We start from the raw sequence: 18,474 nt of genomic DNA, 5'->3' as shown, positions 1-18,474 counted from the left end.
ATTAACACCTTTTTTGCGCTTGTCCTTAAAACATTAAACATTTGAAACAAGTTACTTTGTCTATGTAAGCAAAACTGCTAAAAACACTAGTTGGTATTTGTTCCTTTTGTAGTGATGCCTTTGTGTGCTATTAATGAATAATATAGGCACTAAGTAACTCCCCTGTTACTACTGTAGAGATTGGAGGGTCTGGGCTGGGGGGTAGCAGGGGCACACCACAAACGTCTTCACCTCCATGAAGCTGTGTGGTGACACAGGGAACTGTTTAGGTTCCCACACACCAGTTCAGTTATTATAGTGTATTTAGAAATTTGGGGATAGTGTCATTCATTGATTCTACAATGCCCATTTTTTCCTATTTCAGCTCCTCTGAATTCAGGATGTATCTTAATTAATGGCATCAGCAATTCAGTGAAATCTAGTTGTTGCCAACAACTGATCACGGGTTTGTTATTTAAAAGTCCAGATTTCTGATTTCACTTTAAAATCAGAATATCTGGCAACAGCTGCCCTCATTCCTGCTTTGACCTTTCCTTTTCTTTTTATTTAAAGAGAGAGGGTCTCACTGTGTTGCCCTGGCTGGACTCAAATTCCTGGGCTTAAGTGATCCTTCTGCCTCAGCCTCCCAAGTAGCTAGGACTACAGGTGCATGCCACTGCACCCGGCTGTTTAGACCTTTGTATTATGGAACATGGGCTGACTGATTCCCCATGTTGATCATTAAGTCCAGTAAACTGGTTTGGGATTACCTGCTTGGTCCCTGTAGATATTCAAGAAACTCTGTTATTTTTTACTCATTTTTAGGTACACGTAGAAACACCCCAATTTCAAAGCTAATTTATCTGTTGTTTTTAATCACGAGTCCTCTCCTTCTGCACTATCAAGTGTCTTCTACTTCCTGCTTAAGTCTCTGTTGTCCATTTCATTAAGACAGAAGTTTCTATTATTGTTAAATTTGAACTGTATCTATGTTATAATAGTAATGGTAACTCAATCCAAAGGACCTAATAACAGGAAGTAACATGTCTTACATATCAGTTTATATTTGTTTTTTTGTAGGGACATACTGTGATCTTGGTATACTTGTAATTTTTTAGTTTCCTGGTCGGTTCAGTGCATTTATTTATTTATTTTTTTAATTTTTGTTTTTTGAGACAGAGTTTCGCTCTTGTTGCCCAGGCTGGAGTGCAATGGCACAATCTCGGCTCACTACAACTTCCGCCTCCTGGGTTCAAGCAATTCTCCTGCCTCAGCCTCCCGAGTAGCTGGGATTACAGGCATGCGCCACCATGCCTGGCTAATTTTGTAGTTTTTAGTAGAGGCAGGATTTCTCCATGTTGGTCAGGCTGATCACGAACAAATGAACTTTTTAAATTGGTTGCCTTATTAAATAGTTAGGAAGATAGTGGAAAGATATATCTCTGTAAGTAGGTAAGTAAGTAAATATTGGGAAGCCAGAAACCTAAGTAGATAGTTTTTCCCCCTTTATTCGTGGAGTCAAGATTGCTCATGTTGGAAGCCAGTTAGTCATTCAGGAAAACAGGGAAGTTCCCAGATTCCTTATACTGGAAAAGTTTGCTTGCTTTCTTATTAATTAGCAGCAACTATAATGAGAATTGATTCAGATAAAATAACCAAATAGTATATTTGTATGGCAGCAGTCAGCTCTGTATTCCAAGGGCTGATACCCTAGCAATGAAACACTGTTAAAAGAAGATGATTAGGAACAGGATATACGTCCATTCCCTAGATATACTTATAGCAGGGCAAATTGAGATTCCTGTCTCATGGCAATTTGTAAACAGCTTTTCCGCTAAAGCAAATGAGTTTGAAGTCCTTCAGAGACTCAGTCTTGAGTAGAGAGGTTGTGGGGAGAATACATTTAAAAACGAATTGTGCTGGTCTTCCCCTTGCAGAAAGCAGAAAATGGAGATTTAAATTGGATAATACCAGACCGATTTATTGCCTTCTGTGGACCTCATTCAAGAGCCAGACTTGAAAGTGGTATGTGAAATTATGGCATTAATCTCATTTTGTTATTGAAAATATCTATCCTATATTTTCTTTTGAAAGAGTTACACCAAGCTTGACCAAGTGTTAATTATTATTTAAGCATACTTGGTCACTTCAGTAGATCATTCTGACTGGATTTTAACTTTCTTTTCTTTTGTTTTTTACAGTTATAATCAAATTGGTATTTAATTCCCAGTCCAGATACTGTTTCCGTTCAGTTACAGGTGAAACTATTAGCCATTGTTTTCTTTATGTGTTTTATAAGATCTGGTGCATTTCTTTATGTAGGTTACCACCAACATTCTCCTGAGACTTATATTCAATATTTTAAGAATCACAATGTTACTACCATTATTCGTCTGAATAAAAGGATGTATGATGCCAAACGCTTTACGGATGCTGGCTTCGATCACCATGATCTTTTCTTTGCGGATGGCAGCACCCCTACTGATGCCATTGTCAAAGAATTCCTAGATATCTGTGAAAATGCTGAGGGTGCCATTGCAGTACATTGCAAAGGTATGTTTCTAGGGGTGGTTAAAGAATAGTATACAGTATGAGTATATGAATATGTAGAAACAGACCATATTCATTTAGTTTATGTGTCAGAACATGAAACTGCCTTTATTTTTAGAGTGCCGTGAAACCTTTGATTTCAGATGAAAAGTATAGTAACTTATTTTCATAAGTAATTCTACAAATACATCACATTGAAATGCATTTATTTATTCATCAAATATTTATTGGGTGCATCCTATATAATTCTAGGATACATCAATGAGTAGCGTAGACTGTAAGAGCCTGTCTTAATGGAAACTATATTCTTAACAAGTTGCTCTGTTTTCAGCAATTGTAACAGTGCCTGGCACTTAATAGATATTTTTTGAATAAATGAATGACTATACAATAATAAATGGTATGAAGATAGTAGGATTTATTTAACTCTCTTGTTAGTTAATTAAGAAACAAGAAATATAGTTTTGTTACAAAAATCCAATATTGGAAAAAAAGCTCAGCAAGCCTTGGGGAAAGGGGGAGACTGATCTCCAGAGTTACTGCTGTATTTGTAGTTTTAAATATAATGGCAAAACATCACATTTCAGTTTTTATTGAAAAATTACATGGCATACAAAGAAACAGGAAAGTATAGCCTATTCAAAGGGAAGAAATAAATCCAGGCCGGGCATGGTGGCTCACGCCTATAATCCCAGCACTTTGGGAGGCCATGGCGGGCGGATCGCCTGAGGTCAGGAGTTTGAGACCAGCCTGGCCAAAATAGTGAAACCCTGTCTCTACTAAAAATACAAAAAAATTAGCTGGGTGTGGTGACGGATACCTGTAATCCCAGCTACTTTGGAGGCTGAGGCACAAAAATCACTTGAACCCGGAAGGCAGAGGTTGCAATGAGCTGAGATCATGCCACTGCACTCCAGCCTGGCCAATAGACAGAACAAAAAAAAGAAGAAGAAATAAATCCACAGAAGCTATCCCTGAGAAAGATCAAATTGTGGACTTAGTAGGCAAAAAATTTTAAATAACCATCTTAAAGATACCCAAGAGTTAAAAGAATATGTGGGAAAAGTCAAGGAAACGATTTATGAAGAAATACTAATATCAGTTATAAAAAGAACACATAAAAGGGAACCAAAAGGAAATTCTGGAAATGTACTAAAACTGAGATGAAAAATTCACTGGAGGGATTCAAAAGCATATTTGAGCAGGCAGAAGAATCAGTGCGTGTGAAGCTAGAATCATTAAAGAATTAGCAAGTCTGAGGAACAGAAAGAATAAAGAGCATAACATAAATGAACAGAATTTAAGGGATCCCTGAGACACACCCAAGTAGACCAAGATACAGATCGTGGGAGTTCCAGAGGGAGAAGAGAAGTAAAGGAGCAGACAGATGATTTGGCTGAAAACTCCCCAGATTTGATATATGCAGGAATATCCAAGAAGCTCAACAAACTCCAAGCAGGATAAACTCAGAGGCCCATGTGAACATGCATTATAATCAAGCTATAATGCCACAGACAGTCTTGAAAGCAGCAAGAGAGAAGTGACCTACCACATACAGGGGATACCACTGAGATTGTCAGCAGATCTCTCATCAGAAACATTGCAGGCCAGAAGGCAGTGGGTTGATATATTCAAAATGCATAAGTGAGGGAAAACCTGTTAAGAATTCTACATCTGGCAAAACTCCTTCAAAAATAATGGAAAAATTAAGACTTTGCCCAGGCAATCAGTTTGCCTTTCTGATAAAGGCAAATACATGGACCATTATAAAAGCTAGTATTATCGTAACGAGATAATTTGTAAAATATTATTACTGTAACTTGTAAATATTGTAACTTGCAAAAAACAAATAGAAAATCTGAATAGACCCCTAACTAGTAAGGGGATTAAGTAGTCCAAAGCCTCCTGACAAAGCAAAACCTTGGATATAATAACATCGCCAGTAAATTCTACCAAACACTTAAAAGGGAGTTTTTAATCACTAGATCTGACTTGCAAGAAACTCTAAAGGGGGAGTCTTTTAGGTTGAAATGAAGGCACACTAGACAGTAACACACAGCCATTTGAGAAGAGGAAATAAAGATTTCTGATAAAGGCAAATACAAGGACCACTATAAAAGCTAGTTTTATTGTAACAAGATAATTTGTAAAATATTATTACTGTAACTTGTTATTGTAACTTGCAAATATTATAATATGTAAATTATTGTAATTTGTAAAATAATTTGTCGTTTGCAAGTAGTATAATTTTTGTGTATTATTATATACAAAAATTGCAAGTAGTATATTATTGTAATTTATAAAATAGAGAGTAGAAAACCAATAGAGAAAATGAACAAAACCAAGGGTTGGTTCTTTAAGAAGAATAACAAAAATGATAAACCTTTAGCTAGAATGATGAAGTATAAAAGGAAGAAGACTCAAATTACTAAAATTAGAAATGAAAATGGCATTACCACTGATACTACAGAAATAAAGCTGATCAGTACGTAAAAATGATCAGTATTGTAGGACAACAAATTGGATAGTCTACATGAAATGGACAAATTCCTAGAAAAACAAAACACCAGAACTAAATCATAAAGAAATAGAAAATCTGAACAGACCCCTAACTAATAAGGAGATTAAGTAATCCAAAACCTCCTGAGAAAGCAAAACCCTGGACATGATAGCATCACCAGTAAATTCTACCAAACACTTAAAAAACTAAAACCAGTCCTTCTCAAACTCTTCTGAAAATTTGAGGAAAAAGGAACACTTTCTAACTCAATAAGGTCAGCATTACCCTGATACCAAAAACAAAAAGACACTATAAGATAACTAACTATAGGCCAGTATCCCTTACGAACATCGATGTGAAAACCTTGAACAAAATACTAGCCAATGGAATTCAGCAGCATATTTAAAAGGATTGTGTGCCATGACCAAGTAGGATTTATCCCATGATTACAAGAGTGGTTCAACATATGAAAATCAATCAGTGTGATATACCACGTTAAGGACAAAAACCATACGATCATCTCTGCACAAAAAGCGTCTGACAAAAGTCATTACCCTTTTGTGATAAAAACACAGTACAAACTAGGTATAGAAGGAGATTACCTCAACATAAGAACCGTATGTGAAAAGCCCACAGCTAACATCATACTCAATGGTGAAAGACTGAAAGCTTTTCCTCTAAGCTCATGAAGAAGACAAGGAGGCTTGGTTTTGTGGCTTCTATTTAACATGGTAATGGAAGTTCTAGCCAAAGGAAGTAAGCAAAAAAAAAAAAAATCGAAATTAGACAGGGGGAAGTAAAATTATCTTTTTGCAGATGATATGACTTATATGTATTATAGAAAACCCTGGGCCAGGTGCAATGGCTCTTGGCTGTAATCCTAGCACTTTGGGAGGCCGAGGTGGGTAGATTGCCTGAGCTCAGAAGTTTGAGACCAGCCTGGGCAACACGGTGAAACCCCGCCTCTACTAAAATACCAAAAAAAAAAAAAAAAAAAATTAGCCGGGCGTGGCGCATGCTAAGGCAGGAGAATTGCGTGAATCTGGGAGGTGGAGGTTGCAGTGAGCTGAGATCTCGCCACTGCACTCCAGCCTGGGGGACAGAGCAAGACTCTGTCTCCAAAAAAAAAAAAACAGAGAGAGAACCCTCAAGATTACGCACACACACACAGAGCCCCTGCTAGAATTAATAAATGAGTTCAGCAAAGAAGTAGCAGCATATACAATCAACAGGCAAAAATCCCTTGTTTCTAAGCCCTGACAATAAAAATATAAAAAAGAAACTAAGAATACAGTTTCATTTATAATAGCATCAAGAAGAATCAAATATTGGGGAATTAACCAAGGAGATGAAAGATTTGTATAAAACATTTTTGAGGAAAATTAAAGAAGATGTAATTAAATGTAATGACATCACATTTGTGCACTGGGTGACTTAATATTGTTAACATGTCAGTATTGCCCGAAGGGATATACAGATTCAATGCAAGCCTGTCAAAATTTCAACATTTCTTGCAAAAATAGAAAAATGATTCTGAAATTCATTTGGAATCTCAAGGGATGCCAAATGGCCAAAACAATCTTGAGAAAGAATAAAAAGGTTGGAGGACTCACTTCCTGGTTTAAAACTTCATACAGGCTGGGCATGGTAGCTTAACACCTGTAATCCCAGTACTTTGGGAGGCTGAGACAGAAGGATTGCTTGAGCCCAGGAGTTTAAGACCACCCTGGACAGCATGGCAAAACCCCATCTCTACTAAAAAATACAAAAATTAACTGGGTGTGGTGGTGTTTACCTGTAGTCCCAGCTACTCGGGAAGCTTAGATAGCAGGATCCCTTGAACCTGCGAGGTTGAGGCGGCAGTGAGCCATGATTGTGCCATTGCATTCCAGCCTGGGTGACGTAGTGAGATCCCGTCTCAAAAAAAAAAAAAAAAAAAGGCTTAGTACAAAGCTACATCAATCAAGATTGTGTGGTACTGGCATAAAGACAGATACATAGACCAGTGATAGGATAGAGAGCTCAGAAATAAATCCTTGTGTATATGGTCAAATGACATTCAAGAAGGATACAGAAACCACTCAATGGGGAAAGGACAGTCTTTTCAACAAATGGTGCTGGGAAAACCTGATATCCACATGTAAAAGAATGAAATTGGGCCCTTACATAACACCATATACAAAAATTAAAATGGATCAAGGACCTAAATATAGGACTTAAAACTATAAAACTCTTAGAGGAAAACAGAGGGTGAAAACTTCATGACATTAGATTTGGCAGTAATATGACACCAAAGGCACTGACAATGAAAGAACAGACAAATCGGACTATATAAAATTTTAAAACTTTTGTGCATCAAAGTATACTATCAGCAGAGTAACAAGGTAACCCATGGATTGGGAGAAAATATTTGCAAATCACTTCTGATAAGGGATTAACATCCAGAAGATATAGAGAAAACGCCTAAAAACAACAACAAAACCCAGTTCATAAATGGGAAGAGGACTTGAATACACCTTTCTCCAAAGATATAAAATGGCCAGTGAGCACAAGTAAAGTTCTCAGCATTTTTGACTTATAGGGAAAGTCAAATCACAACCACAGTGAGATACCACTTTATACCCATTGGGATGGCTGTTATCTAAAAGAACAAAAACATCACCACCAGAAAATTACAAGTGTGGAGATGTGGAGAAAATTAGAAGCCTTGTGTACTGCTAGTGGGAGTATAAAACAATGCAGCTGCTATGGAAAATGGTGTGGCAGTTCCTGAAAAAATTAACGTCATTCAGCAGTTCCATCTCTGGTTATATGCTCAGAAACAATTGACAGCAGGGATATGAACAGATATTTTTACACCCATGTTGTAGCAGCATTCTTCTTCTTCTTCTTTTTTTTTCTTTTTTTTGAGATGGACTTTCACTCTGTTTCCCAGACTAGAGTGCTGTGGTGCAATCTTGGCTCACTGCAACCTCTGCCACCTGGGTTCAAGTGATTCTCCTGCCTCAGCCTCCAGAGTAGCTGGGATGACAGGCACGCACCATGACATCCAGCTAATTTTTGTATTTTTAGTAGAAACAGGGTTTCACCATGTTGGCCAGGCTGGTCTCGAACTCCTGACCTCAAGTAGTCCACCCGCCTTGGCCTCCCAAAGTTCTGAGATTACAGGTGTGAGCCACCACGCCCGGCCAGCAGCATTACTCTGAATAGCCAAAAGGTGGAAGCAATCCAGGTTTCCATCAGAGGAAGGCTAAAGAAATGGCTAAAGAAAATGTGCTATATCATACAACAGAATATTATGCATCTTTAGAAATGAAGAAAATTCTGACACATGTACTGCCACATGGATGAACCTTAAAGATATTAGGCCAATTTAGGTTTGCCAGTCAGAAAAGGACAGATATTGTATGAATCCAGTTGTATGAGATACTTGGGGTAAGAGAAAGTAGATTGGTGGTTGCCAGGGCCTGAGGGGAGGCAGGGATTGGTAGTTATTGTTTAATGGGTCCAGAGTTGGCTGGGCACGGTGGCTCACGCCTGTAATCCCAGCACTTTGGGAGGCTGAGGTGGGCGGATCACGAGGTCAGGAGATCAAGACCATCCTGGCTAACACGGTGAAACCCCATCTCTACTAAAAATACAAAGAATTAGCCAGGCTTGGTGGTGGGCGCCTGTAGTCCCAGTTACTCGGGAGTCTGAGGCAGGAGAAGGGCGTGAACCCGGGAGGTGGAGCTTGCGGTGAGCTGAGATTGCGCCATTGCACTCCGGCCTGGGCGACAGAGCAAGACTCCATCTCAAAAAAATAAATAAATAAAAATAATAAAAAATAAAAATGGGTCCAGAGTTTCCGTTTTGTAAGATGAAATACGTTCTGAAGATGGATGGTGGTAATGTTTGTACAACAATGTGAATGTACTTAATGCTACTGAGCTGTACACATAAAAAGTGGTTAAAATGATATTCAGAAACTTACACTAAGGAAATACAAGTTTCCGAATTAACCAATACAGAATTTTTTTGTTTTTGTTTTTGAGACGGAGTCTTGCTCTGTCGCCTAGGCTGGAGTGCAGTGGCACGATCTCAGCTCACTGCAACCTCTGCCTCCCAGGTTCACGCCATTCTCCTGCCTCAGCCTCCCCAGTAGCTGGGACTACAGGCGCCCGCCACCGCGCCCGGCTAATTTTTTGTATTTTTACTAGAGACGGGGTTTCACTGTGTTAGCCAGGATGGTCTTGATCTCTTGTGATCCACCTGCCTCGGCCTCCCAAAGTGCTGGGATTACAGGTGTAAGCCACCGCACCCGGCCCCAATACAGAATTTAAAATAACTGTCTTAAACATGTTCAGTGAGCTAAAACAGAATTCAGACAACTAAATGAAATCAGGAAAATGATGCCTGAAGAAAAATGGTAAATTTTATGTATATTTTACTCCAATTTTTAAACATAATTAAAACAAAAGCCAGCATTGCTTATTTCATTTTTTAATTATAAAAAGCAGTTGAAGGAATTCTTCAGCAAGGTCCTTTTGCACCCCAACCCCATCACACACCCGACATTTGGCAACCTGCAGAGACCTTTTTTGGGGGTTGGGTACCACGGGCATCTGGTGGGTAGAGATCAGCGATGCTGCTAAACATCCTACAGCGCACAGGACAGCTCCTCACTATAAATAATTATCCAGCCTCAAATGTTAGTACTGCTGAGGTTGAGATACCCTGAAATAGAATGATGACCAATTAAAAGCCTAGAGAGGATCTTATTTGATTGCATCTTTGTTTAGGGAAGAAAAATGATGACAGTATGAAAATTGGGCTGTACAGTGAAAATTGAGATTCATTAAGAGGTATATTAATCTGCTGGGGCATATCACCAACTGGGTGGCTTAAACAACAGAAGTTAATTCTCTCACAGTTCTGGAGGCTAGAAGTCTAAGGGCAAGGCACTGGCAGGGATGTTTTCTGGGGAGGCCTCTCTCCTCGGCTTGCAGTGCAGATGTCTGTCATCTCTGAGTCTTCTCATGGTTTGCACTTAACTCCTGCCGTCTCTTTCTTTTATTTTTTTGAGATGGAGTCTCGCTCTGTCTCCCAGGCTGGAGTAAAGTGGCGCGATCTCAGCTCACTGCAAGCTCCGCCTCCCGGGTTCACGCCATTCTCCTGCCTCAGCCTCCCGAGTAGCTGGGACTACAGGTGCCTGCCACCACGCCCGGCTAATTTTTTGTATTTTTTAGTAGAGACAGGGTTTCACTGTGTTAGCCAGGATGGTCTCAATCTCCTGACCTCATGATCTGCCCTCCTCGGCCTCCCAAACTGCTGGGATTACAGGTGTGAGCCACCGCACCCGGCCTATCTCTTTTTTTTCTTAGAAGTACAACAGTCCTATTGGATTAGGGCCCCACTCTGTGACCTTATTTATTTCCGTAAAGGCCTTATCTGCAAATACAGTTGTATTGGGACTTAGAACAATATATGGATTTGGGTTAGGGGGGACACAATTCAGTTCATTATATTCTGCCATCTGGCCCCCCTCAAATTTATGTCCCTTCACTTCAAAAATACATTCACCCCATCTCAACAGTTCTGAACATCTCAATTCATTCCGGCATCAACTCCAAGTTCAGAGTCTCATCTAAATAGCATCCAACTCAGGTATAGGGGAGACTTGAGGTATGATCCATCCTGAGGCATAATTCCTCCCAGCTGTGATGGGATGGTACAGGCACAGGATAGACATTACCATTCCAAAAGGGAGAAACCAGAAGAAAGAGCTTCTAAGCAAGTCCAAAACCTAGCCAGGCAAATCCCATTACATCTTAAGGCTAGAGAATCATCCTCTTTGGCTCCACGCTCTGCCCTCCAGGCCCTCTAGGGTAGTGGCTTTGTCCCTGAGGGCTGTGGTCAGAGGCAGCTGGGTTTGCTGTAACTAATAGAGGTGGCCCTACCCTGTGAAATCAAGGAGTAGGCAGGCCTTCCCTGAGCTTATATACTCTGTGTCTCGGTGGCAGTGGCAGCACTGGGGGTCTCTAAATTGCCCTTGGGATCATCCTTCCTTTTCTTGAAGGACAAAGAATGTTTGCATCCAGGTAGCTCTGCTGTCAGAAGTCCAAAAGCCTTACTTTATTTTATTCCATGTCCATCCCCTTTAGTGCAAGATGCCAGTGTCTCTGCTGGTATAATCCCATCTCTTGTCCTTGCTTCTGCTGAGATGGCTGATTAAGTCTAGGTAATCTCTTTAGAGGGGGAGTGTCCAGCCACACCCTTGACTTTTCTCTCTGTAACACTCTTATTTTTTGCAATATGGATAGCCTGAGAATTTTCTGACTCTAGTTCCTGATTCCCTGTTGCTTAACAATTTCTTCTTTAATTCGTCTTTTTCCTTTTGCATTTTACAGTAACCAGTAAGGAGAAACCAGGTTGTATCTTCAACACTTTCCTTACAAATCTCCCCTGCTAAATATGCAAGGTTGTCAATCACAAAGCCACTTCTCCATTTCTATGTAGTTGTTACAGTGACCCCTATCTCATGATCCAAATCTGTATTTAGGGTTCTCCAGAAAAACAAGCAGTAGGATTTTTTTTATATGTAGGAGATTTATTAAAAGGAATTGGCTCATGCAAGTATGGATTCTGGTGAGTCCAAAATATGCAGCGTGGGCCAGCAGCCTGGAAACATGGGAGAGTTGATGGTGCAGATGAAAGCCAAAGGCAGTCTCTTGCTCAGGAAAGTCAGGGTTTTTGTTCTGCCCAGGTTTTTCAGCTAATTGGATGGGGCCCATCCACATTATGGAGGGAACTGTGCTTACTGAAAGCTCACCAACTTAAATGTTAATCTCCAAAGATTCATTCCGGATTGACACATAAAATTAACCATCACTGGAGGTAATGATAATAGTCTAGATAAGACAGGCCAGCACCAATAGAGGTTTAAAAAAATCTGAGTGAAAATGGGTATTACAGACCAGAAAACATAATTGGATGTGGGAGTAAGTGCAAAATTACAAGCCTTTGGTTTTGCAAAGATGGTGGTACCGTTTTTCTAAAATGCCCAGGGCAGAAGACACTGCACTTACTGAGAATCATTGCTCAGAAAGTGATTCTCCACCTCGGCTACACATAGAATCATCTGGAAGATTTTAGGAATCTCTGTGTCCAAGCTATGCTGCATACCAGTTAAATCTAAATTCTTGGCGTAAGGCCAGGCGTGGTGGCTCAAGTGTATAATACCAGCATTTTAGGAGGCCAAGGCAGGCGGATCACCTGAGGTGAGGTGAGTTTGAGACCAGCTTGGCCAACATGGTGAAGCCCCGTCTCTACTGAAAATACAGACATTAGCCGGCTGTGGTGGCACATGGCTGTAAATCCCAGCTACTTGGGAGGCTGAGGTAGGAGAATTGCTTGAGCCCAGGAGGTGAAGGTTGCAGTGAGCTGAGATTGCATCATTGCACTCCAGCCTGCTGGGCAACAGAGTGAGACTCCGTCTCAAAAATAAATAGATAAATGAAACAAATAATAAATACATTCCGGATGTGAGACCGGGCATCAGTATTTAAAAACCTCTCTAGGTGATTCCAGAGTGTAACCAGCCTTGAGAACCACTATTGAAAGAAGCAGAGTCATGAGAAGCCTTTTAAAAAAATTCTGCCTGCCCAACAAAATCCTGGAGTACATCAGCCCAAGTTTCATTTCTGTGCTTCTTTATTTTCCTAGCTGGCCTTGGTCGCACGGGCACTCTGATAGCCTGCTACATCATGAAGCATTACAGGATGACAGCAGCCGAGACCATTGCGTGGGTCAGGATCTGCAGACCTGGCTCGGTGATTGGGCCTCAGCAGCAGTTTTTGGTGATGTAAGTAGTAGCCTACGTCTGTAGTTCCCAGGGAACATGTGGGGTTGGAATCTGATGGGGAGTGGAATTTCCTTTAGTTTCCAACAACAACAGATAATCTGGTAGGAAGAAGTTGTTCATGTATCTTTCTGGAAAGCTCTATTTTGATGTTATTTAAATGCTCTAGGAAGCAAACCAACCTCTGGCTGGAAGGGGACTATTTTCGTCAGAAGTTAAAGGGGCAGGAGAATGGACAACACAGAGCAGCCTTCTCCAAACTTCTCTCTGGCGTTGATGACATTTCCATAAATGGGGTCGAGAATCAAGATCAGCAAGAACCCGAACCGGTAATCAAGCCGTTTCTGTTGCGATGTTGTTACTGCTTTAACTGCTATTGAGAACCTGTCAGGGTATGGAGAAAACCGTAGGTAAAATAATAAAGCAGCTCTTGGATGATTGTCAGTTTTTTATATTTATAACCCTCTCTAGGCACTTTTTACCCAAAATAGTGGAAACAAGGTTGTGTGTCCATAAAACTATGTTTTACTTACTCAGCAGGTGCATAAAAGGTTGTGAAGTGAGCTCTTCAGCCAGATCTACCCCTGCCCCTCACCCCTTTTTGCCATTTCACAACAGCTGATTTAGGAAAGCAATCATTCTCAAATAGAGAGCTTTTAACAAATCAAAGGCTTAGGGGGTAGCAGTACTACTACATTAAGTGGTAGTAAGTACACTGAGATTTTAAAAAGAGCGTTTTCAAACTTGAAAGCCCATTAACCCTCTTCACTGTTGATGTGTTTTCTAACAAGAGTGCTGCTGTGTTGTCTCTGAAAGTCAACTTTGGCTGTCTTAAAATGTCACCTGAAGCTTGATTGTGAAAGGGAAAAATATTCTAGAGCTTGCAGAAACTTGGACTGTGTTCATGTGGATAAATTGCTGCTCTGCTGTACTGCATTAATAAGTGCAACTTAAATCATTAGCTCAGTGTTTTTTTACTTACACAGTACAGTGATGATGACGAAATCAATGGAGTGACACAAGGTGATAGACTTCGGGCCTTGAAAAGCAGAAGACAATCCAAAACAAACGCTATTCCTCTCACGTGAGTCTGGGTTCCTTTGTTGTGGTTGATGTTTCTTCATATGTGTGTGGGGTCCTTGGTGAGGGTTTTTCCTGTACATTTTTCTCCATAGTTGCAAGCCCATGATGCCACTTTGAAATGCTTGCCTATGTTATTTAAAACCTAGGGGTGCTGGCCTTGGAAGCTCTCAGCTGTCCCTTGTTTACCTTGGTCCTCATGAGCCTTTATGGGTGGGAAGGCGACATCAGGGATACTTTTTCTCCATGAATAATCAGCATGGGGCATCCTCAGGAGCGCGACAGCAGATGTAAAGCCCAGGATGCCAGACTTGTCCATAGTTACTAAAGTGGTGTATTTCTTTACATTTGCCATGTTGCAGATCATTTGTTTTGATAAGCATGACATGATGGCTTAATGACATTATGTTGTTTTGGGGCAACAATGAACTGGTCTAAACTATATTTTGGGTTTTTCGTTTGTTTCTTTGGGGAATGATTTTCTAATTATAGAGGAAGATTTAGCCTGAGAATAGGAAATGTTGTAGTACTGAGTGTATGTATGTCTATGTGTACATTCTTGTGAATGTGTGTTAGTTGGGATTCAACCTGATGGAGCATCCAAGATTGTTAGAAAAATATGCAGAAGCAAAGTACATGACCATGGTATTTTTTGTAGGCTGTTCTTTAGTAAATGCTCCCACTTGTTGCCATTGGATTTCTTCCTTCTAGTTACTTCCTTTTTCATTGTGGGACACCAGATTTCCAGCCTTCTTTTTTGCGGGGAGGGAGTGTGATGGACATAGATCATTTATTCAGTAAGCATCTTGTAATATGGTAAGGAAGTATGATATAATATACCATTTATATTGGCAGAGAACAGGTTTTCTTTTCAATTAAAAGTAATTCCTCACTAGTGTCTCGTCATAAAAATTCTGAAGTAGAATTACACCTAAGGCATGTGTCATTATGGGTTGCTCCCCTGGGAGGTTCTTCTTAAAAGACCCAAGGCAAAGAATTGAGTTTTACAATATGCAGTGTTATGTGAATGAATGTAGGGCATCCATTTTGATTATAGGCATTTATTAAGCATTTCTTTTGCAACTTAGTGGTACTTTAGTCAACTATACTTTTTTAAAAATGGTGCCTTTTGGCCAGGTGTGGTGGCTCATGCCTGTAATCCCAGCACTTTGGGAGGCCAAGGTGGGCAGATCACCTGAGGTCAGGAGTTCAAGACCAGCCTGGCCAATATGGTGAAACCCCGTCTCTACAAAAATACAAAAACTAGCCGGGCATGATGGTGGGAGCTGTAGGCATTATAGGATCCCAGCTACTCGGGAGGGTGAGGCAGGAGGATCGCTTGAACCCGGGAGGCAGAGATTGCATTGAGCCGAGATCGTGCCATTGCACTCCAGCCTGGGTGACAGAGTGAGACTCTATCTCAAAAAACAAACAAACAAACAAAAATAGTGCCTTTGTATAATTTACTTAACTCCAAATGCCATTTTGTTTTTAATTTCCTTATTAAAAGTCTTCACCTAAGGCCTTAATGGTTTTTCTTTGGAAGTATTATGGTGGCTCCAGGTAATCATCCAGATACTAATTCTGGATGTGGTGGAGGAGGCAGGCAGCACCCTCGAGCAGTGCTTCTCAGACTTCAGTGTGCAGGAGGCACCCGGGCGCTTGTTGAAATATGGGTTATGATTGGTGGGGTGGGGGTGGGGCCCAAGAGTTCACATTTCTATCCGAGGCTGCTGGTCCAGGGACCACACATTGAATTGCAAGCCCTAGGAAACTGATGCTTTTGTGGGTTGATTTTAGCTGTGTCTGGGATTTTTTGTTTTGTTTTTCAGAATCAGCATCATCAGTTTATGTTTTAATATTTTGTTGCCTGCTGTTCAAAAGTCAAGTTGAGAGTCAGGGGATACAAATCCTGCTTAGTCAAAAGTTTTTGTTAAATAGGAAATTTCCTTTAGTCACCCTCTGAATCTGCTACTCTCATTAACGTGAGTTCAAATCTAGCTGGGCGTGGCTGTGCGCACCTGTAGACCAGGCTATGCGGGAGGCTGAGGCAACAGGACTACTTGAGCCCAGGAGTCTGAGGCTGCAGTGAGCCATGATCACTGCATCCAGCCTGGGTGACAGAGTGAGACCCTGTCTAAATAAATAAGTAAAATCAAGTACAATGGTAAAAGTTAAAAAACAAAGAGGTAGCTCAGGATTCCTTTTGGTAATATCCCAAAAACAATATATATAAATAGCCCCACATAACACAAATAACAAAGTTTTAGGCCACACTTTTAAAGAAGAAAGCGAAATGCTAGTTTTTCTAAGCTCTGAGTTATGTGTATAGACCCGAGGGGATTTTTGATGAGTCTCAGCAAATCTCCTTCCTCCTCCCTTACAACATTTTGCTTATCCCCGTCTCTGCTTTTTCAAACCCTCTCTGCTATTATTTGCAGTTTTTTGGCCCTAGAAAAGATCAATTGAAGATTTTCTTTCTTTCCCTCTTGTGTCTATGTTGTTATTTTAGGAATAGAAGTCCCTGAGGGACTGTTCTCAACAGTTGCTTGGGTTGAAAAATACAAAATCAATTTCTTCATCCAAGTTTGACTCATTGATTTCTGTGAGCAAGTTATTTTGCTTTAGCATTGGCACTTAGCCTTATGAAAATACAGTACATGCAAGAAGGAAAGTTAGTGAGAAATACACAAGTACTAGTGATTCTTAGGAGAAGGTTATAGTACATAAAATATTATTCCAATGATTGGTTTCTCTTTTTTTTTTTTTTTTTTTTTTTAAGACAGAGTCTTGCTCTGTTGGCCGGGCTGGAGTGCAATGGTGTGCCCTCGGCTCACTGCAACCTCTGCCTCCCAGGTTCAAGTGATTCTGCTGCCTGAGCCTCCGGAGTATCTGGGATTATGCACCACCACACCCAGCTAATTTTTTGTATTTTTAGTAGAGACAAGGTTTCACCATGTTGGCCAGGCTGGTCTCGAAATCCTGACCTCAAGTGGTACACCCACCTCAGCCTCCCAAAGTGCTAGGATTACAGGCATGAACCACCGGCGCCTGGCCGGTTTCTCTTTTATAAATGGTCAGTTTTGGGGGAGAGTTTAAGTTTTTAGTGATTATAAAATGGCCATTTGCTCAGCCTGTCTGATCCTGACTACAATGATGACAGGAAACCATGTGGCACCATGACATTGAGCTGATCTTCAGGACGTGATGACAAGTATATTGTCTGTGCTAAAATGGATTTGGTAGATTGCATAACTTGAGCCATGAGGCCTGTCGTTCTGCATACTGATGGTTTTGGTAGGTTTGGAGATGAGTATATCTGTTAGCAATGGAAAATAATTCTTTTTTTATTTTTATTTTTTATTTTTATTTTTGAGACAGAGTATCGCCCTGTCGCCCAGGCTGGAGTAAAGTGGTGCGATCTCGGCTCACTGCAAGCTCCGCCTCCTGGGATCATGCCATTCTCCTGCCTCAGCCTCCCAAGTAGCTGGGAATACAGGCGCCCACCACCACGCCCGGCTAAATTTTTGTATTTTTAGTAGAGACAGGGTTTCACTGTGTTAGCCAGGATGGTCTCGATCTCCTGACCTCGTGATCTGCCCACCTTGGCCTCCCAAAGTGCTGGGATTACAGGTGTGAGCCACTGCACCCGGCCGGAAAATAATTCTTAAGCCATGAGGTTTACTAGAGGAAAAAGTAACCATCTATAATGCTGACACTTGGACATTCGGGCCATTCTGCCTTTAAGGAACTGAAGGTGAAGGCTGGGATCGGTAGAGAGTTCTCTAGGGCTCCCAGACCATTTATTCATTCCATTTAAATATTCACCCCTGTGATCTTTATGTATATTAGTAGCTTGTTTTTTTTGTGGGAAGATTAAATAAGATGGTGTGGGTATAACTTGTGGGGTAAGGTTAGGCTGTATTTCGAGTTCACCCTTTAGTCTAATCCCTTTCCACAATATAGGATGCCTGGCATGTAATTTCTTTTTCCCCGAGACAGAGTCTTGCTTTGTCACCCAGGCTGGGGTACAGTGGCGTAATCTTGGCTCACTGCAACCTCCACCTTATGGGTTCAAGTGATTCTCCTGCCTCAGCCTCCTGAGTAGCTGGGAATACAGGCACACGCCACCACGCCTCGCTAATTTTTGTATTTTTAGTAGAGATGGGGTTTCACCGTGTTGGCCAGGCTGGTCTCAAACTCCTGACCTCGTGATCTGCCCGCCTCAGCCTCCTAAAGTGCTGGGATTACAGGCGTGAGCCACTGCGCCTGGCCTGACATGTAATTTTTAATGATGACAGTGATGAGGTCAACAATAAAAATGACATGATAAGCCAAATCAGCCATTTCCAAATTGATTAGCAGTACTCTGCACACAGCAGATGCTCAGTAGAGGCTCTAATATTTGGTCACAGATGTATCCAGGTGACCATTTGGAAGTATAGTCATTGGAAAGAGCTTCTGCCCTTCCAAATGGGAGGAGGTTTCCTTCCTCACTGCTAGAACCCAGACCAATGGATTAAGA

General features: G+C 40.9%; 1 protein-coding gene across 36 annotated transcripts in view, besides 1 other annotated feature; it reads left to right on the top strand.

The window, feature by feature from the left end:
* CDC14B (cell division cycle 14B) overlaps positions 1 to 18,474 on the top strand; it is a 128,905-nt gene that overhangs the window by 83,385 nt on the left and 27,046 nt on the right. For all 36 annotated transcript variants that reach the window (XR_007061367.1, XR_007061366.1, XR_929864.4 and 33 more), the window contains 5 exons: positions 1,917 to 2,004; positions 2,302 to 2,532; positions 12,734 to 12,872; positions 13,039 to 13,198; positions 13,856 to 13,953. Coding sequence is in view for 30 of the 36 variants with exons in the window: in XM_047423999.1 (XP_047279955.1) it covers positions 1,917 to 2,004; positions 2,302 to 2,532; positions 12,734 to 12,872; positions 13,039 to 13,198; positions 13,856 to 13,953 (716 nt within the window). In the remaining 6 variants the exon portion in view is untranslated. The remainder of the gene's footprint in view (positions 1 to 1,916; positions 2,005 to 2,301; positions 2,533 to 12,733; positions 12,873 to 13,038; positions 13,199 to 13,855; positions 13,954 to 18,474) is intronic.
* Positions 12,857 to 14,056: an enhancer, noted in NCBI's record as "BRD4-independent group 4 enhancer chr9:99284685-99285884 (GRCh37/hg19 assembly coordinates)". NCBI's record gives its function as "activates an origin of replication core promoter dependent on BRD2, P300/CBP, MED14 and CDK7 cofactors, and independent of BRD4, by STARR-seq in HCT116 cells {active_cell/tissue: HCT116}" and the evidence as "EXISTENCE:reporter gene assay evidence [ECO:0000049][PMID:35650434]".

Source organism: Homo sapiens, chromosome 9, assembly GCF_000001405.40.
Source record: "Homo sapiens chromosome 9, GRCh38.p14 Primary Assembly".
NCBI classification, from domain to species: Eukaryota; Metazoa; Chordata; class Mammalia; order Primates; family Hominidae; genus Homo; species Homo sapiens.
Note: the sequence above shows the minus strand (reverse complement) of the source record. Positions and strands in the feature narration are given on the sequence as shown.